Here is a 15,842-nt window from a genome sequence, read left to right as displayed (position 1 = left end):
CTGTGAAAAGGAGGGGAAACCCCAGCCAGAGGCTTCTCCTCTTTGAGACAAAAGCCTTAAGCCACAGGGAAGGTCAACAAGGTGGGGGAGGAGAAGGGAAAAGAATAAAACCCTGTACTCCTAGGGCAGGGGCAGGAAACCATACTGGGCATCTCCTGTTGCTTAGTGTTTTACGTCTTCTTCACTATTATCACTCCCATTTTGTAGATGAAAAAGCAACCCACCCCAAGGATGGTGCAGGCGTGTGTGACCCCAAAGCTCTGGCACTGACTGTCAGATGCAGCATATCGTGATTCCAGGAAGGCCTTGTGACCCCAATGAAGAAACACAGCTGGATGGTCAGAGTTCAACGGCTTCCCACTAATTGTACAATGACCCTAAAATGCCTTGACTGATCAGTGTCAACCTGCAGGCTGCACTGGTTTATGCATTCCTTGTCTCTGTCCCACTAGACATTTTCATCAATGGCATGGAAGATCTGCTTATTCATTTTTTGTTAAATAAAATTAGCACTAACAGTTAATAAGAGAAAGAAGCAGAACAGAATTCTTAATTATCTTGAGGCTGGAACTCTGGCCCACAATCAATGGGGGAAAAATGCAAGGCCCTGAATTTAAACGTGAATCAATCAATCGCAGACACGCAGAATGGAAGAAACTGGCAGATAAAAATGTGTGACAAAAATCCGGAAGGCTTAGTGGATTACCGGTTCAAACGGAGGCAACAGCCAAGGCTGCTGCTAAAAGATGTAATATATCAGAGGTGGGATTTGTGGAAGAATGACATCGCATCCCAGCTACCATATTACTATTCTTTGTACTACATGAACAGAAGAGTTGGTAACCAGTATGATGAGGAGCTGAAAATTATATCCCCAAGTACTATCTGTAGCAGCCATCAAGTTTAGCTTGGACAGGGTTCACATGGTAACTGCCTGTAAATACTTTGCTTCCACAGCAAGTCAGAGTGTCTTGTTCAACAAAACAATGCACAAGCATTTGGTTAATGACAGGTAATGCATGTCCGAAAAAGGAAGGCTTTCCACCAATTCCAGCATGCAACAGTATTCCTGGGCAACCTAGGCAAATGATTTGATGATCCCTCTGCATCTAGAAGTATGAGGAATGGGACTGATGATGTCAGGAACACCTTTAACATGACATTGCCATCTCTTCAAGGCTAGGATTCTATTATTTACATTACGTAACTTACAAAGGTCTTCAGCTCTCACCCCCATATTTGGGTCATCTGAGCAGATCACACAACAGTGACATGCCAGTGGCTCCAAGACCAGAGGGCTCACCGAATCTCCTCTCCTTGCCCATCAGCCAGTGTCTCCTGGGGCACATGGAGCACCAGGCTCCATGGCACTTAGCTCTCTTTGGGAATATTTCCTTCATCTCCAAACCAGTGTGTCCAAAGTTTTCTTGCCAACAAACCCCAATGTCCAACTCTTCTACTGCCATTGGCACTGCCATATTTCTAGCTGCAGAGTCAAACTGTGACCCCCAACCTTTGATTCCTTTTATTTTCCTATATCCAGAAATCTCCTCCTAGAAGGCTAGTCCTCAAAATGTCTCTATTTTTTCATTATTCTGTTTCCACTGCTACTCTCACCTCACAGCTGTGATACTGAGCTAACCCTTCCCACCCAGCTTTCCCATCCCTGTCAATTTCCCCTCCTCCACCACTCCATTCTACACACCACGTTACTTATTTTTTCTTCATTTTGCAGTCCTAAACAAACTTTCAGCAATGTCCCCAGTGTTGGGGGTGGGGTGGCTGGCGGGTGGGCTCATAGGTTCTCTAATGTATATGACAGAGAAAGAGAGAGCGCATGAGCACGAGCATGTATGTATGTGTGTGTACGTGCGTGCAAGGAGGGCCTTGGCCAGGGCTCCTCCAGATAGGCCTACATAGGAGTAGGGAGGCCTGCACACCCTCACACAAGTAGAAAGGAAGTCTGGAGACCTGTGATCAGCAATATGGGGCACAGATGGAAGGATGAGATCCAATGGGGCTGATGGGAACTTAGACAGAGCAAGGCAAGCTAACCTGGAGAGCAATGCAGACAGGGAAGCTTCCATGCCAGCGCCCTGAGGCACCCCTAAGAGGCAGCAAGGAGGTGAGAGTTTGCCAGGCTCAGGGCCCTGAGGCCTTCCCCTTGGGCCAAAAGAGGATCCATAGAGATAAAGAGACAGACTCTCTGTGCTGGGTGACAAAGGGCCATGCTGTATAGACTGAATCATCTTACTCCAATTAATTAGAATTCCAGATGTATGAAGAGAAAAAAATCCACATCCTGTGATAAGTCATGGGCCTGGCATCTGCCTCTTACCTCTGACTGGAGAGTTTAAAGATTGGCTCTTGTAAATAGAAAGAAACACTTTATTGAAAACACTTTTTTCTTTCTTTTAAAAAGTCATTATTTGGCTACGAATGCATTATTTTCTCCCCTGGCTATGAGTCTCAAATATCTGCAAATATGCATTGCATAATGAGCCTCTGGCAGGCTGCAAAATCACATCTTGTTGCCTTTCATGGAAGAAAAATGATGAATTATGAAAACACAGTGACAAGATGTTTCTGCTCCAGTACTTCCTTTATCAACTCTGTGACTGTATAAGGCAAAGGCAACTGGATGTCAAGGTAACCTTTCCAGGTTAAGATAAATCTGACTCTTTGTCAAAAGGAAATGCTAGGGCCCCTGGCTTTGCTGATTTCTTAATTTGAATTGGGGAAAACCCATTGCAGCTGTATTGACCAAACTGTATGTTTAAGGAGGAGACTGAGGCCTCCTTCTCAAAATCTAAGGGTCTTGGGTTGATGTATCTGTTGTTCTTTTCAATTTCTCATTATTCAGATGGGGGTGAGGGAAGAGTATCAGCAGACACTCTATTGGTTTTGTAAATAAGAGGTGATCTCATTAGAACTATGTAGACTGGAAATAAACTTGGCAGCTACTGCCTTTGTTAACTTTCAGCAACTCGCCTAGAACAGAGCACACCCTGCAGGGGGGCAGGAGACCTTCATGTGACATCACAGTTAGTGGGATGGGCTGTGGCATCACTGTTCCCCAGAATTCTCCTTTCCAACAACACAGTGAACTCCAAGGCACAGGCTGACTCTTGGCTCCACTCTCTTGTCCTCATTATGACCAGCACAGTGCAGAACACAGGAGCCAGAGACTATTCTAGACCTGCCTTTGGGAAAATAAAAGATGAAGACAGAAATCCACACAGATCCAGTGCTGACGGCCCAAATGGCTAGGGAGGAGGCGAGTGTGCCACCTTAGACAGAGGCCCTGAAGAGGCAGCCCAGAGTCCTGAACCACCACTGAGGAAGCACACACCGAGTGCACCGTGTAGGATGGGGAGGCTGGGAAAGCACAATTCCTACAAATGTATTTTTGAAACTTTTTAATTTTATAATTTTTCCATGTTATTTAGAAATGCAATAAAGATTTTCCTGTGTGTTTATTCTTTCCTGATTGTTTATTTTCCTTACAGAATGATTCCAAAGTAATATCAATATGATGCTGTTGCCACATCAGAGACTCTGAGCCATGGCATGCATTTCTGTTATTTCTGTTTTTTTTTTTCTCTGCTGCTCTTCTTCTTTTCCTCCTCCGTGGTCCTTCTCCTCCCTCTTTTCTATCTCTCCCTCTTCTTTTCTTTGTGCCTTTCCTCTCTTAGTCTATTTTTGCTGCTATAAAGAGAAATACCTGAGACTGGGTAATTTATGAAGAACAGAAATTTATTTCTCACAGTTCTGGAGGCTGGGAAGTCCCAGATCAAGGCACTGACTGTGAGGGCCCAGTCTCTCTGCATCCAAGATGGTGCCTGTTGCTGTATCTTCTGGAGGGCAGGAAGGTTGTGCCCTCACATGGCAGAGAATCAAAAGAGAGCAAATGCACTCCTTCCACAAATCCTTCTTATAATGGCATTAATCCATTCATGACAGCAGAGCTTTCATGACCTAAACACCTCTTGACACTGTTGCATTGGGGATCACGTTTACACCACAAAAATTTAGGGAGGCACATTCAGACCACAGCATTCTCTATGTAATCTCTCCCTGCTCACAGTGATTCTTCCCCATACCCATCCCACCTTCCCTAACCTTGCCCTCACTCTATTCTCTGTCTGGTGATGAGCTAACAGACTGTCAGTTTTTCTATTGTAAGCATGTTAGGTTTTATTTCCTTTTAGAAATAGGGCAAGTTGTTGGTGTTTTATCATGGCCATCATAAAACCATAAAGATATCTTAATTCAGCTGTGTCATGTACAAAAAGTCAATCTTTCTTGCAAAATCTCTTCCCATCTCCCTAGCTTTTATGTCCTTGAGACCATTCAGAGTGCCTTGGGGAGGGAGCAGGTTCCAAATGAACATGAAAGTTAGGGAGGCTTCCCAGCACAAGCAAGGAAAAAGGAGAAAAAACTGAAACAGGATATGAGATATAAATCTTCCCTCGGTCTGGCTGATGCAACCTAGAAAGCCCAGCATTTCACTCAGTGTCCAAGGTCACCTACATCAGTTTCAAAACAGAGTCACTTCCATTTTCCATAGAAAACAAAGCCAAACATTTTTTTTTAAAGATTTTCAATCTTCTGAGGGAAAGCATAGCTGTTTCTAATCTGAAATGGGGAAAAATTCTCTCATCAATAAGTACTAGAAAAAGAAAACCTGAGGGCAAGATGTGAGGGTCACCCACGGATATGGGACCCCATGGGGATTCGCATGCCAGTGCCAGCCACAGAGAAAAAGCCCTTCCAACCACACAAGGACACAATCACCAGGATTCTGAGAAGCCTGAGAAGGAGATACAGCCTAAAACTAGAACCATACTCCTCCCCAAATCAAACCAGGGCTGAGTGCTCCCAAAGGACAGCAGAATCCTTGGGAGGCAGGTGACTCCAGGGGTAGGGCCAGGGGATGGACTCCCCAGCAGAGCACAGCACTGTGAACAGCAGCCTGGAAAGGCTCACTCTAGTGGGGGTGGGCAGTGAACACAGGGATGGGGGACAGTCTGGGCAGACCACATGTGATATGGTTTGGTTCTCTGTCCCCACCCAAATCTCACCTTGAATTGTAATAATTCCCACATGTCATGGGAGGGACCCAGTGGGAGGTAAGTGAATCATGAGGGTGGGTTTTTCCCATGCTTTTCTCATGATAGTGAATAAGTCTTCTGAGATCTGATGGTTTTATAAAGGGTGGCTCCCCTGCACACACTCTCTTGCCTGCCACCATGTAAGATGTGCCTTTGCTCCTCCTCCGCCTTCCGCCATGATTTTGAGGCCTCCCCAGCCATGTGGAACTGTGAGTCCATTAAACCTCTTTCCTTTATAAATTACCCAGTCTCAGGTATGTCTTTATTAGCGGTGTGAGAACAGATTAATCCAATATGCTTTTCAGGGACCCTACAAAGCTATGCTGATTCTGTGACCTGTTTAATTCAGGTTCAAATTCTGTATCCAGGCCCTCAAGATCCCCCACTCCATCTGACCATGTTGCCCACTACAGCCACTCTGATCTCCATAACGTGCCACCCGTACAGCACTTTAACCTTGGTGCATGTGCACCTGCTCAGGACAGGGTCCCTTTCACTACTTCTCCCAAATCCCCCTGCAGTCAGGTCCCTAACACATGCTCCTCCACACCCCGGCAGAAACCAGAGAAGACTATGCCAGAGGCTTGCCCAGCTTTCGGCGCACCTGAAGTGACGGAATAGATCTGCTTCCTTGGCAGGACCTCCAGAGACCTCAGGGACCTGGCAGCCAAGGCGTGGCTGGTGGTGATGTGCCAAAATGCATGGGGAAACCAGCTAGGCTTTCATAATCAAGCACTATTTCCTCAACTACCAAATGGGAATTATATTACTTACCTGACAGTGGCCTCATGAGAATTAAATGAGATCACGCTTATAAAACACCTAGTATGGGCCGGATGTGGTGGCTCCCACCTGTAACCCCAGCACTTTGAGAGGCCAAGGCAGGTGGATCATTTGAGGCCAGGAGTTCAAGACCAGACTGGCCAACATGGTGAAACTTTGTCTCTATTAAAAATACAAAAATTAGCCCAGGGTGGTGGGTCATGCCTTTAATCCCACCTACTTGGGAGACAGGCATGGGATTTGCTCGAACTCAGGAGGTGGAGGTTGCAGGGAGCTGAGATCATGCTACTGTACTCCAGCCTGGCAACAGAGTATAAGACTCTGTCTCAATAAATAAAATAAAATAAAATACCTAGTTTGGTGCCTGGCAAATCCGTAATAAACATTGATTACTTTTATAATTGATGTTAGAGCTGAAAGGTAATCTCGGATTCTTTATCCATATAGGAATATGCATATACATATGTACAACATATAAATATATATGTACACACGAACATGAAATACAGATGGTTCACAGATCTTACATCTATGGTATAACTTTTTTTTTTTTTTGAGACAGAGTCTTGCTCCATCACCCAGGCTGGAGTGCAGTGGCATGATCTCAGCTCACTGCAACCTCTGCCTCCCGGGTTCAAGTGATTCTCCTGCCTCAGCCTCCCGAGCAGCTGGGACTACAGGCGCGTGCCACCATGCCCAGCTAATTTTTATATTTTTAGTAGAGACAGGGTTTCACCATGTTGGCCAGGCTGGTCTCGATCTCGTGATCCACCCGCTTTGGCCTTGCCAAGTGCTGGGATTACCGGTGTGAGCCACCACGCCCGGCCCTATGGTATAACATTTGATTAAATATTAAAAACCGAAGGTTCCAAAGGCACTTGATTAAAGCTTAAGAGAAGAGAAAAGAGAAATGCATTAAAATTTCATGAGCTATTTGCAATTTAAGTGTATCTTAAAATTTGTAGAGTAGTAATCCTCATTTATACTGTAACGGCTTGAAAAAAGCTGAATAAAATTTCTTTCTGCAAAACTGACTCAGAGAAAAAAGAAAGGCAAGTGATATGACAAGTGAACAAAACAGTCAACCATAACTTCCCCTTACCTTTGACCCAATGAGAGTGTACAGCCACTGAATGGTTTCATTGCGGTTTATTACTCCATTCATTCCATCCACATACAACATAATCTGGCCCAAAGCTACAGAAAACAAGAGAAAAAGGAGACATTATAGATGTATATAGAAATATAATCTTCAGTGATCATAATGCTGATCAAGATTTTCATACTTTAAGTACACAGTATGTTAAGAATCAAATCTGAGGAGAATTCCTGAGCTCTGAAATTAACTAAATCTCATTTCAGAGAGAAAGTGTCGAACACTAGAAGAAACAAGGGCTATTCCAGGCTCCCGGAAGATGCAATTAAGGCACCAATCCAGTGATTGTTGTTTCTGTGTGCCTTGATGTATAAATGCATGTTTTTCTGTTTCTATATCTGTGTGTAGTCCCAGACAGGACAAAGATATTCATGAGATGGTGTCTGGGTTGTGGCCTCCCACTGGGGCCACAAGGACAAACGAAGTTTCCAAAAGCAACCTGTCCAGTGCCCCAGTCTGTGGTCAGCAAGTCTTAGATTCTGTGGGATCATCCTGGGTTAATCCAATTTTATTCCAATAGGTCAGCAATAAATGCATAGTTAAATATTATGAGTAATTCCCTTTAAAGATTTTCAAGTAAAAACATCAGGTATCATGAAAATACATGATATCACACATTCGTCACATACCAAATCCTAAATTCTTAGTTTAGGAAAATATATAGTCACCATATACCATCATTATTCTCCAAACAGAAAACACTAGCTATGTTTTTTAAGTAAACATTAAACTCAGTTTTTCAACTCCATTATTATCAAAATAATCTGACTGATAGATAATGAACAAACAGAAGTTACATGCCCTAAAGGAAGGAGGACTCCACCAGTCACATCTAAGCTCCTAATCATATTTCACCCATAACTAATTGTCAGGGCATTGACATTTTTCTAAACAACATTTTTTATGCTGGTAACAGTAGAACAGCTTATTTTAGAAAATTAGAAAAATACAGAAGAATAAAGTGAAAATAATTCATGTTCCCATAAATTAAAGATAACCATTCTTAAAATATTGATGTATTTTCTTACATTCTTTTTTTATGCATTACAAACACACACAAAGTTTATATGTGGGTTGTAGGAAACATTCTACATGAAATACGTTGATTAGAAAGAGCAAAACAGAAAACAGTAAACACAAATTCTAAGTATGCAAATATATATGTAATATTAGAAAATGCATCCTATCCAACAGAAGATCAAATAAGAAAACTACATTAGTGGCTGGGCACAGTGGCTCATGCCTGTAATCCCAACACTTTGGGAGGCCAAGGCAGGTGGATCACATGAGGTGAGGAGTTCAAGACCAGCCTGACCAACATGGCAAAACCTTGTCTCTACTAAAAACACAAAAATTAGATGGGTGTGGTGGTGCACACCTGTAATCCCAGATACTCAGGAAGCTGAGGCAGGAAAATTGCTTGAACCCAGGAGGCGGAGGTGGCAGTGAGCCAAGATCGCACCACTGCACTCCAGTCTGGGTGATAGAGCAAAACTCTGTCTGAACAAAGAAAAAAAAAAAGAGAAAAAAGAAAAAGAAAACCACATTATTCTGAGAAAAAATATGCTCCTAAATATGTAATAACTCAAAAAATTTAAAAATTATTTGGACATATCCTTGACACAATAAGCAGTATATTTTGAGAAATAACAGATTCATAGTCTATTTAATGGTAAAACACTAGAGATATTCCTACTAATCAGAAATAATTTTTAAATGATGCTCATTAAACCCATGGATTATTTAACACTGCTATAGAATTTCAGGCAAATTTAATAAGATATGAAAAATGATAAGATACAAAATTGTTGGAAATACATATTGTCATAATTTGCAAGTAAAATTATAGATACAATAAAAAAATTCACAGAATTTATTACAAAGAGATTACAATTATAATCACATTTCTCATCCTAATGAGAAATCTGTATGCAGCATTTGAATGCAGCATATGAAAGTTTGATATAAAATTATACTAGATAAGTGGATCTATGACAACAAATATGTTAAAGAATAATTTCTTTAAATAGTTAATACAAACTAGTAAGACAATATTAAATGCCAATAGAAAAAAGGCATTTTATATGAGAGACAACAAACTTGTTTATAATAGCATGCAAAATTTTTCACTCTCACTATAATAAAACAAATGCAAATTAAAATAATAATAAGGTAGTGTTTTCACTCAAATTGGCAAAGGTATTTTAAAAAGAAATGATTATGTATCAAACACTAGAGAGGTTAAATAACTTCATGCATTGCTGGTGGTAGGGCAAACTGGTAGAAACCTGTAATAAGGCTATCTAGAACTATAATTATTTTGTAAAGTTACCATGTATTTAGCGCTCACTGTGTGCCAAGTTCTCCAGAGGGACTTTATAGGTATTATTAATAGAAAAGCCATATGCAGTGGGTATTTTTACCTCCATTTGGAAGAAGAAAAAACTGAGGCTCTGAGAAGTGAAGGGATGTGACCAAAATCTCCATCACTGCCTAAGTAGCAGAGCCCACTTCCAGCCAGGGTGGGTGAGCACGTATGTGTTTATACTAAGAGCCTCGAAGTCCTCTTCAAGCCCTTTCCCAGTCATCATGATTTGGGAAACCTATTCTAAGGAAATAGCTCTAAGTTTAAACAAAATAAAAAAGGAAGCAAAGGTGTTCACTGAAGCATTATTTAATATACCAAAATAATAACTAAAACACAAATACCTGTCATGGTCCTAGAACTCAGCGTACACAGTCATTTACCAAAGCTATGTCCTAACTTGTAAAATGTTTCTCATAAAATAAGTAAAAAGCAAGTATAAGTAAAAAGCAACATCACATAATTAAATAAAATAAGTAAAAAGCAACATCACATTATTAAACACTCAAATCTTCTTTTAGTTGAGACACGGTCTCACGCTGTCACCCACGTTGGAGCAGTGGTGCCATCATGGCTCACTGCAGCCTTATCCACCCAGGCTCAAATGATCCTCCCATCTCAGCCTCCTGAGTAGCTGGGACCACAGACACATGCCACCACACCAAGCTATTTTTTTTTTTTTTCTGTAGAGATAGGGTCTCCTTCTGCTATCCAGGCTGGTTTCAAACTCCTGGGCTCAAGTGATCCACCAGCCTTGGAATCCCAAAGTGCCTGGATTACAGGCATAAGCCACCGTGCCCAGTTATAACACTCCAATCTTCATGCATACAAAGAAGAAAAGGAAATCCATAAAATATTAACCATTGTGATTGAGTATATATTCTTTGGATGTATTTTTCCTATTTTCCCAGCTTTCTAACATGAGCATCGATTACTTCTGTAATGGAAAAGTAAAATATGTTAAAAAAAAAAAAAAGAACAAAAATAAGACTGAATAATGTGAGGTGTTACATGCTTTTGTTTTTAGAATTTTTTTACTAGTGCATCCTTTCTTACCACCACCACCCCCACCCTCCTGCAGAAAGATGCAGCCCCTACCTCATGGAAGAGCTCCAAGAATTCGGCACATTCTGCCCTATTTTTTCCCATTTCTTCCCTCCTTCCCTTCCCAAACAAACTGGCAAGTCTCCATGGAAGAGGAGTTTGCTCCACTGTCCTTTTCCCATTCTGAGTCCCGCTGCTGAAAAGGCCAATCCTGAGGTACATTTTGGCACCTTCCTTTAAATCAGCTAACCACACAGGGAGAGAGAAGGTAGACTCTTTAGCCTTCTGGAAGGTATATCCACGGGGAAGACTCTCCACAAGGCTGAGAAGCTGGGACTGAAGGCCTCCCCCCAAGAGCTCAGGGCCTCTGGTACTGGCCAAGTGCCCAAGAAGCCAGGACACTATTACAATGGGAGAAGGCAAACTAAGGTTTAAAAGCTGACTTGATCTGTTCCCCGCAACATTCTATTAACTGGATCATACTGGAAGAGGTGCATCACTACAAAGTTCATGTCTAATGGAATTCAAGTGTCCGATCACGCTAATTTTTCATATTTTGGTAATCAAATCTTTCCCACTACATCTTTTTTGTACCTACCCACTACTACTAAAGCAATCCGGCCTGTAAACCGCTCCAGACACGAGATGGCGCTAAATAGATTCATGTGGGTTAATATTGCACTACAAGCAGCAAAAACCCACCAACCTCAAACGTGGGCCTGAGAATAAAACCCACACAGAAGAACAAAACAGATGCCCTGAAAACACACGTCTGGGTCACAGGAGCCATGAAAATTCATGATTTGTGTTTTCAAGAAGAATGTGGAGGCTGAGACTGTCTATCAGAACACAGAGGTAGATGGCACCACAGGTCTAGGAAGAGAGCATTTCCTGTTCTGCCACTCATGGAACTTATTACACTCAAGGTATATTTATTCATCTTTCTGTGCTTCAGTTTCTTCATCTCAAAAATGACACGGCTATACCATACTATCTATTTTGCAGGGGTGTGGTGAGGAATGAGTTAGAACAGTGCCTCCAATGAACAGAAGCACACGCTGAACAACTCTCAAAAACAGAAAACAGGGAGCAAGCTCTCCAGGCTAACCTTACCCAGCTGTGGGTCATGAGAAGTGGTGGGAAAACTCCTTGCCTAACTAGAAGTCACAAAGATTTTCTCTTATGTGTTCTTCTAAAAATATGTAGTTTCTCCTCTTTATATGTAGCTCTATGATCCAATTTGAGATAACTGTTGTACAAAGAAGCATAGATTGAGGTTCATTTTTTTTTCATAGGTCCAACTAATGCCATTTGTTAAAGAGACTGTCCTTTTTCTATTTCATTGCTTTGGCAAATTTGCCAAAAATCAACTGGTTGTGTTTGTACGGGTCTGTTTCTGTCCCATTGGTCTGTCCAACCCTTTGCCAATGCCACACAATCTGGATCACCATAGCTTTAGAGTAAATGTTAAAATCAGGTAGTATGATTCTTCCTATTCGTTCTTCTTTTTCAAAATTGGTTCAGCCATTCTTGTTCTTTTGCCTTTTAATACAAATTCTGGAAGCAGCTTGTCTAAATCAACAACAACAACAAAATCTTTCTGGAAATAATGTTAATCTATAAATTCTAGGAGAACTGACATCTTTACTCTGCTGAATCTTCTAACCTATAAACCTGTTATGTCTATTTATTATACATCTTCGCAGATTGCTTTTATCAGTGTTCTATAGTTTTCAACTATAGATGCAATATATGTTTGTTTGGGATGGTATTTTTTGCCAAAATTATAAGTAGTTCACATTCTTTGGAGCTATTACAAACGGTGTTTTAAAAACCTTTCCATTCCTAATTGTTTATTGTTAGTATATAGAAACAAAATTGAATTTGTATATTGGCCTTATATCCTATAACTTTGTTAAACATTAATTCTAGGAGTGTTTGATTTTTTGTTTTGTTTTTGTAGATTTCCTGGAATTTTGTACATAGACAATAATGCTGTTTGTGAAAAAGAACAATTTTATTTCTTCCTTCCCAATCTATATCCCTCTTCCCATCCCTATTGCACTAGTGAAGACTTTCAGTATAATATTCAATGGGCGTGGTGAGAGTGAACACCCTTGCCTTGTTCCTAATATTAGGGAGAAAGCATTAATAATCCTTTACTATTAATTATGATGTTAGACATATGTTTTTGTAAATTGTCTTTTATCAAGATGAGAAAGTTTCTCCAATTTCTAGTCTGCTAAGAGCTTTTTGTAAATCATGAATGAATGAATTTTGTCAAATGCTTCTTCTACATCAACTGATATGATTGTGTTTTTTCTTCTTCAGATTGTTAATGCAGTAGGTTATACTAACTGAATTTCAAATACTCAATGAGTCTTGCATCCTTTTTGACCATGGCATATTACTCTTTTCATATATTGCTGGATTTGATTTACTAATATTTGTTGAGGATTTTTTGCATCTTTGTTCATAATAAATATTGTTCAGTGTATTTTATGTCTGGTTTTCATACCATGGTAATACTGACCTCATAAAATGAATTGGGAAGTGTTTCCTCCTCTTCTGTTTTCTGGAAGAGATTTTGTAAAATTGGTTTTATTTTATCTTTAAATGTTTGGTGGAATTCACCAGGCAACTGTTTGGGGCTGGAGATATTTTGTTAAGAAGGTTAACTGCAAATTAAATTTCTTTAATAGTTACAGTAATGGGGCTAGTCAGGTTATCATTTCATCTTGGGTGGGTTTTGGTAGTTTGTGGTTTTTAAGGAAATGATCCATTTAAGGAATTGATCCATTTCATCTAATGTATCAATTTTATGTGCTGAGAGTTGTTCATAGTATTCTGTCATAATTCATTGAAGTGAAGTTTAATCCCCTTTCATTCTTAATGTTAGCAATGCATATCTTCTCTTTTTTCATTTGTCATTCTTGTTGGTCAATTTTATTTTTCTTTTCACAGAATCAGCTTTTTGTTTCATTGATTTTCTCTATTTTTTTCTCCGCTTTCAACTTCATCAATTTCTACTTTTATTATTTTCTTCCTTCTACTTATTTGGTTTTATTTTACTTTTCTTACTCTAGTTTCTTAAGGTAGGTGCTTACATTATTATTTCCCTCTTTTCTAATATATGCAGGTAATGCTAGAAATTTCCCTCATGCATTGCTTCAACCACATCCCACAAATCTGATGTGTTGTATTTTCATTTAGTACAAAACGTTTGCTAACTTCCATTGAGAATTCCTCAACACATGGATTATTTAGAAGTGTGTTAATTTCTAAGAGTTTGGACATATTCATGTTCTCCTTCCGTTACTGATTTACAGTTTAATTTTATTCCAGTCAGAAATTACAGTATTTCAATTATTTTAAATTGGTTATGGTTTATTTTGTGACCCATGATATGATTTATATTGGTGAATGTTTTATGCATATTTGAAAGTAATATGTATTCTCTGTAGTTGGGTAGTGTTTTCTAAAGATGTCAATTAGAACTATTTGGTTGATGGTGCCATTCAGTTCCTTCATAGCCTTGCTGATTTTCAGTCTGTCAATTCTATTGATTACCAAAAAAGAAGTATTGAAGTCTCCAACTACAACAGAATTTTTTCTATTTCTTATTTCAGTTCTGTTTTTGCTTTATGAATTTTGAAGCTCTAGTTTTCTGGGTGACCTGATTCTTTTGTCATTATAATGTCTGCTTTGCCTCTAATTATTTTCTTTGCTCTGAAGCCTACTTCTTCTAATAATTAATATAGTCACTTCACCTTCTTTTGATTAGTGTTTGCATGTTTTTTTCTCCTGCATCCTTTTGCTTTTAAACCACCTATAGCATTATAAGTGGGTTTCTTGTAAGCAGCATTTAGTTGGGTCTTGTTTCATTTATTCATTAATGTCTGTCTTTTAATTACTGTGATTAGACCAGTCATATGTAATATAAGTACTAATGTGTCTTATTTAAGGTCTATCATTTCCAATCTGCTACCGAGCCCATCTGGTAAGCTTTTTACTTTGGTTATTGTATCTTTCATTGTAAATTTCGTTTCTAAATTTTCCATTGGGTTCTCTATATATTCTATTTCTTAATGAGACTTTCCATCTTTCTATTCATTTCAGGAATGTTCACTCTTACTTCCTGAAGCATTTTCATAATGGCTGCATTAAAAACTGAAAAATCAAGTATCTGTATCAACTTGGCCCAGGGGTGGTGATCTATCTTTTCCCATGCAAGTTGGGATTTTCCTAGTTCATTGCGCGCCAAGTAATTTTGGCTTATCTCCTGGATATTTTTAAAATAATGTTATGAAACTCTGGGTTTTGTTTAAATATTACAGAAAATGTTGACATTTTTGTTTAAGCAGGCAATTAACCTGGTTCAGTTTGAGTCACAAGTTCTGACCTGTCTTCTGTGGCTCTAATATCAGTTCAGTTTTCAGAGCCCTTGCCGTGCCATTTGGTTGAGCTCTGTATGTGTACTACAAAGTCGACAGTCTGGGGCCTGGGCAGTATCTATCTTGTTCAGTTCTCAAAGTCACTGCTATGCTGTTTAGGGTCAGATTCATGCATGCAGTCTGTGTGGAGCCCAGGGGTTCACATAAAACTTTCACGTGTGTGGAGCCCAGGGGTTCACATAAAACTTTCACGTTCCTGAGCTTCTCCTTCTCCATTATATTCCTGATACTTTTAGGTTCCCTGAGGCTCCCTCCACCACCTTTTTTTTTTTTTTTTTTTTTTTTTTTTTTTTTTTTTTTTTGAGACAGAGTCTGCTCTGTCGCCCAGGCTGGTGCCATCTCAGTTCGCTGCAAACTCTGCCTCCCCGGTTCAAGTGATTCTGGTACCTCAGCCTCCCGAGTAGCTGGAATTACAGATGTGCACCACCATGCCTGGCTAATTTATTTTTTTTTTTTTTTGTATTTTTAGTAGAGATGGGATTTTGTCCGGTTGGCCAGGCTGGTCTCAAACTGCTGACCTCAAGTTATCCACCTGCCTCAGCCTCCCAAAGTGCTGGGATTACAGGCTTGAGCCACCACACCCAGCTGAGGCTCCCCCTTCTTAGTCCTTCAGCCAGAGAGCTGGAGCATTACTTAACTTGTTCAGCCACTTAATTTCCATGACTATAGCTAGCCACAACTGGGGCCAAGCAGAAAAACAGAGAAGGAAAAACCAGACTTCTGTGAGTGAGTTTCCACCCCACTCCTCAGAGTTTTAGGTGCCCATATGCCCCTGCTGTTCTCACCATGGGATTACCTGGGGGAGAGGGGGCAAGATAACAGAGTGAGAAACATGTGAGACTCCTCCTACTCAAGCCAGAAATAGAAAGATCTTGAATTCTCTCTGTCCACACCCAAGTCCACTTCTGGGTTTTGCACTAATTTGA

The 15,842-nt window shown here is 40.1% G+C and overlaps 1 protein-coding gene across 45 annotated transcripts in view; it reads right to left on the bottom strand.

The window, feature by feature from the left end:
• FHOD3 (formin homology 2 domain containing 3) overlaps positions 1 to 15,842 on the bottom strand; it is a 482,508-nt gene that overhangs the window by 196,676 nt on the left and 269,990 nt on the right. For all 45 annotated transcript variants that reach the window (XM_011526189.2, XM_011526190.3, XM_017026008.2 and 42 more), the window contains one exon: positions 7,000 to 7,094. In XM_011526189.2, coding sequence (XP_011524491.1) covers positions 7,000 to 7,094 — 95 coding nt within the window. The remainder of the gene's footprint in view (positions 1 to 6,999; positions 7,095 to 15,842) is intronic.

Source organism: Homo sapiens, chromosome 18 (assembly GCF_000001405.40).
Source record: "Homo sapiens chromosome 18, GRCh38.p14 Primary Assembly".
NCBI classification, from domain to species: Eukaryota; Metazoa; Chordata; class Mammalia; order Primates; family Hominidae; genus Homo; species Homo sapiens.
Note: the sequence above shows the minus strand (reverse complement) of the source record. Positions and strands in the feature narration are given on the sequence as shown.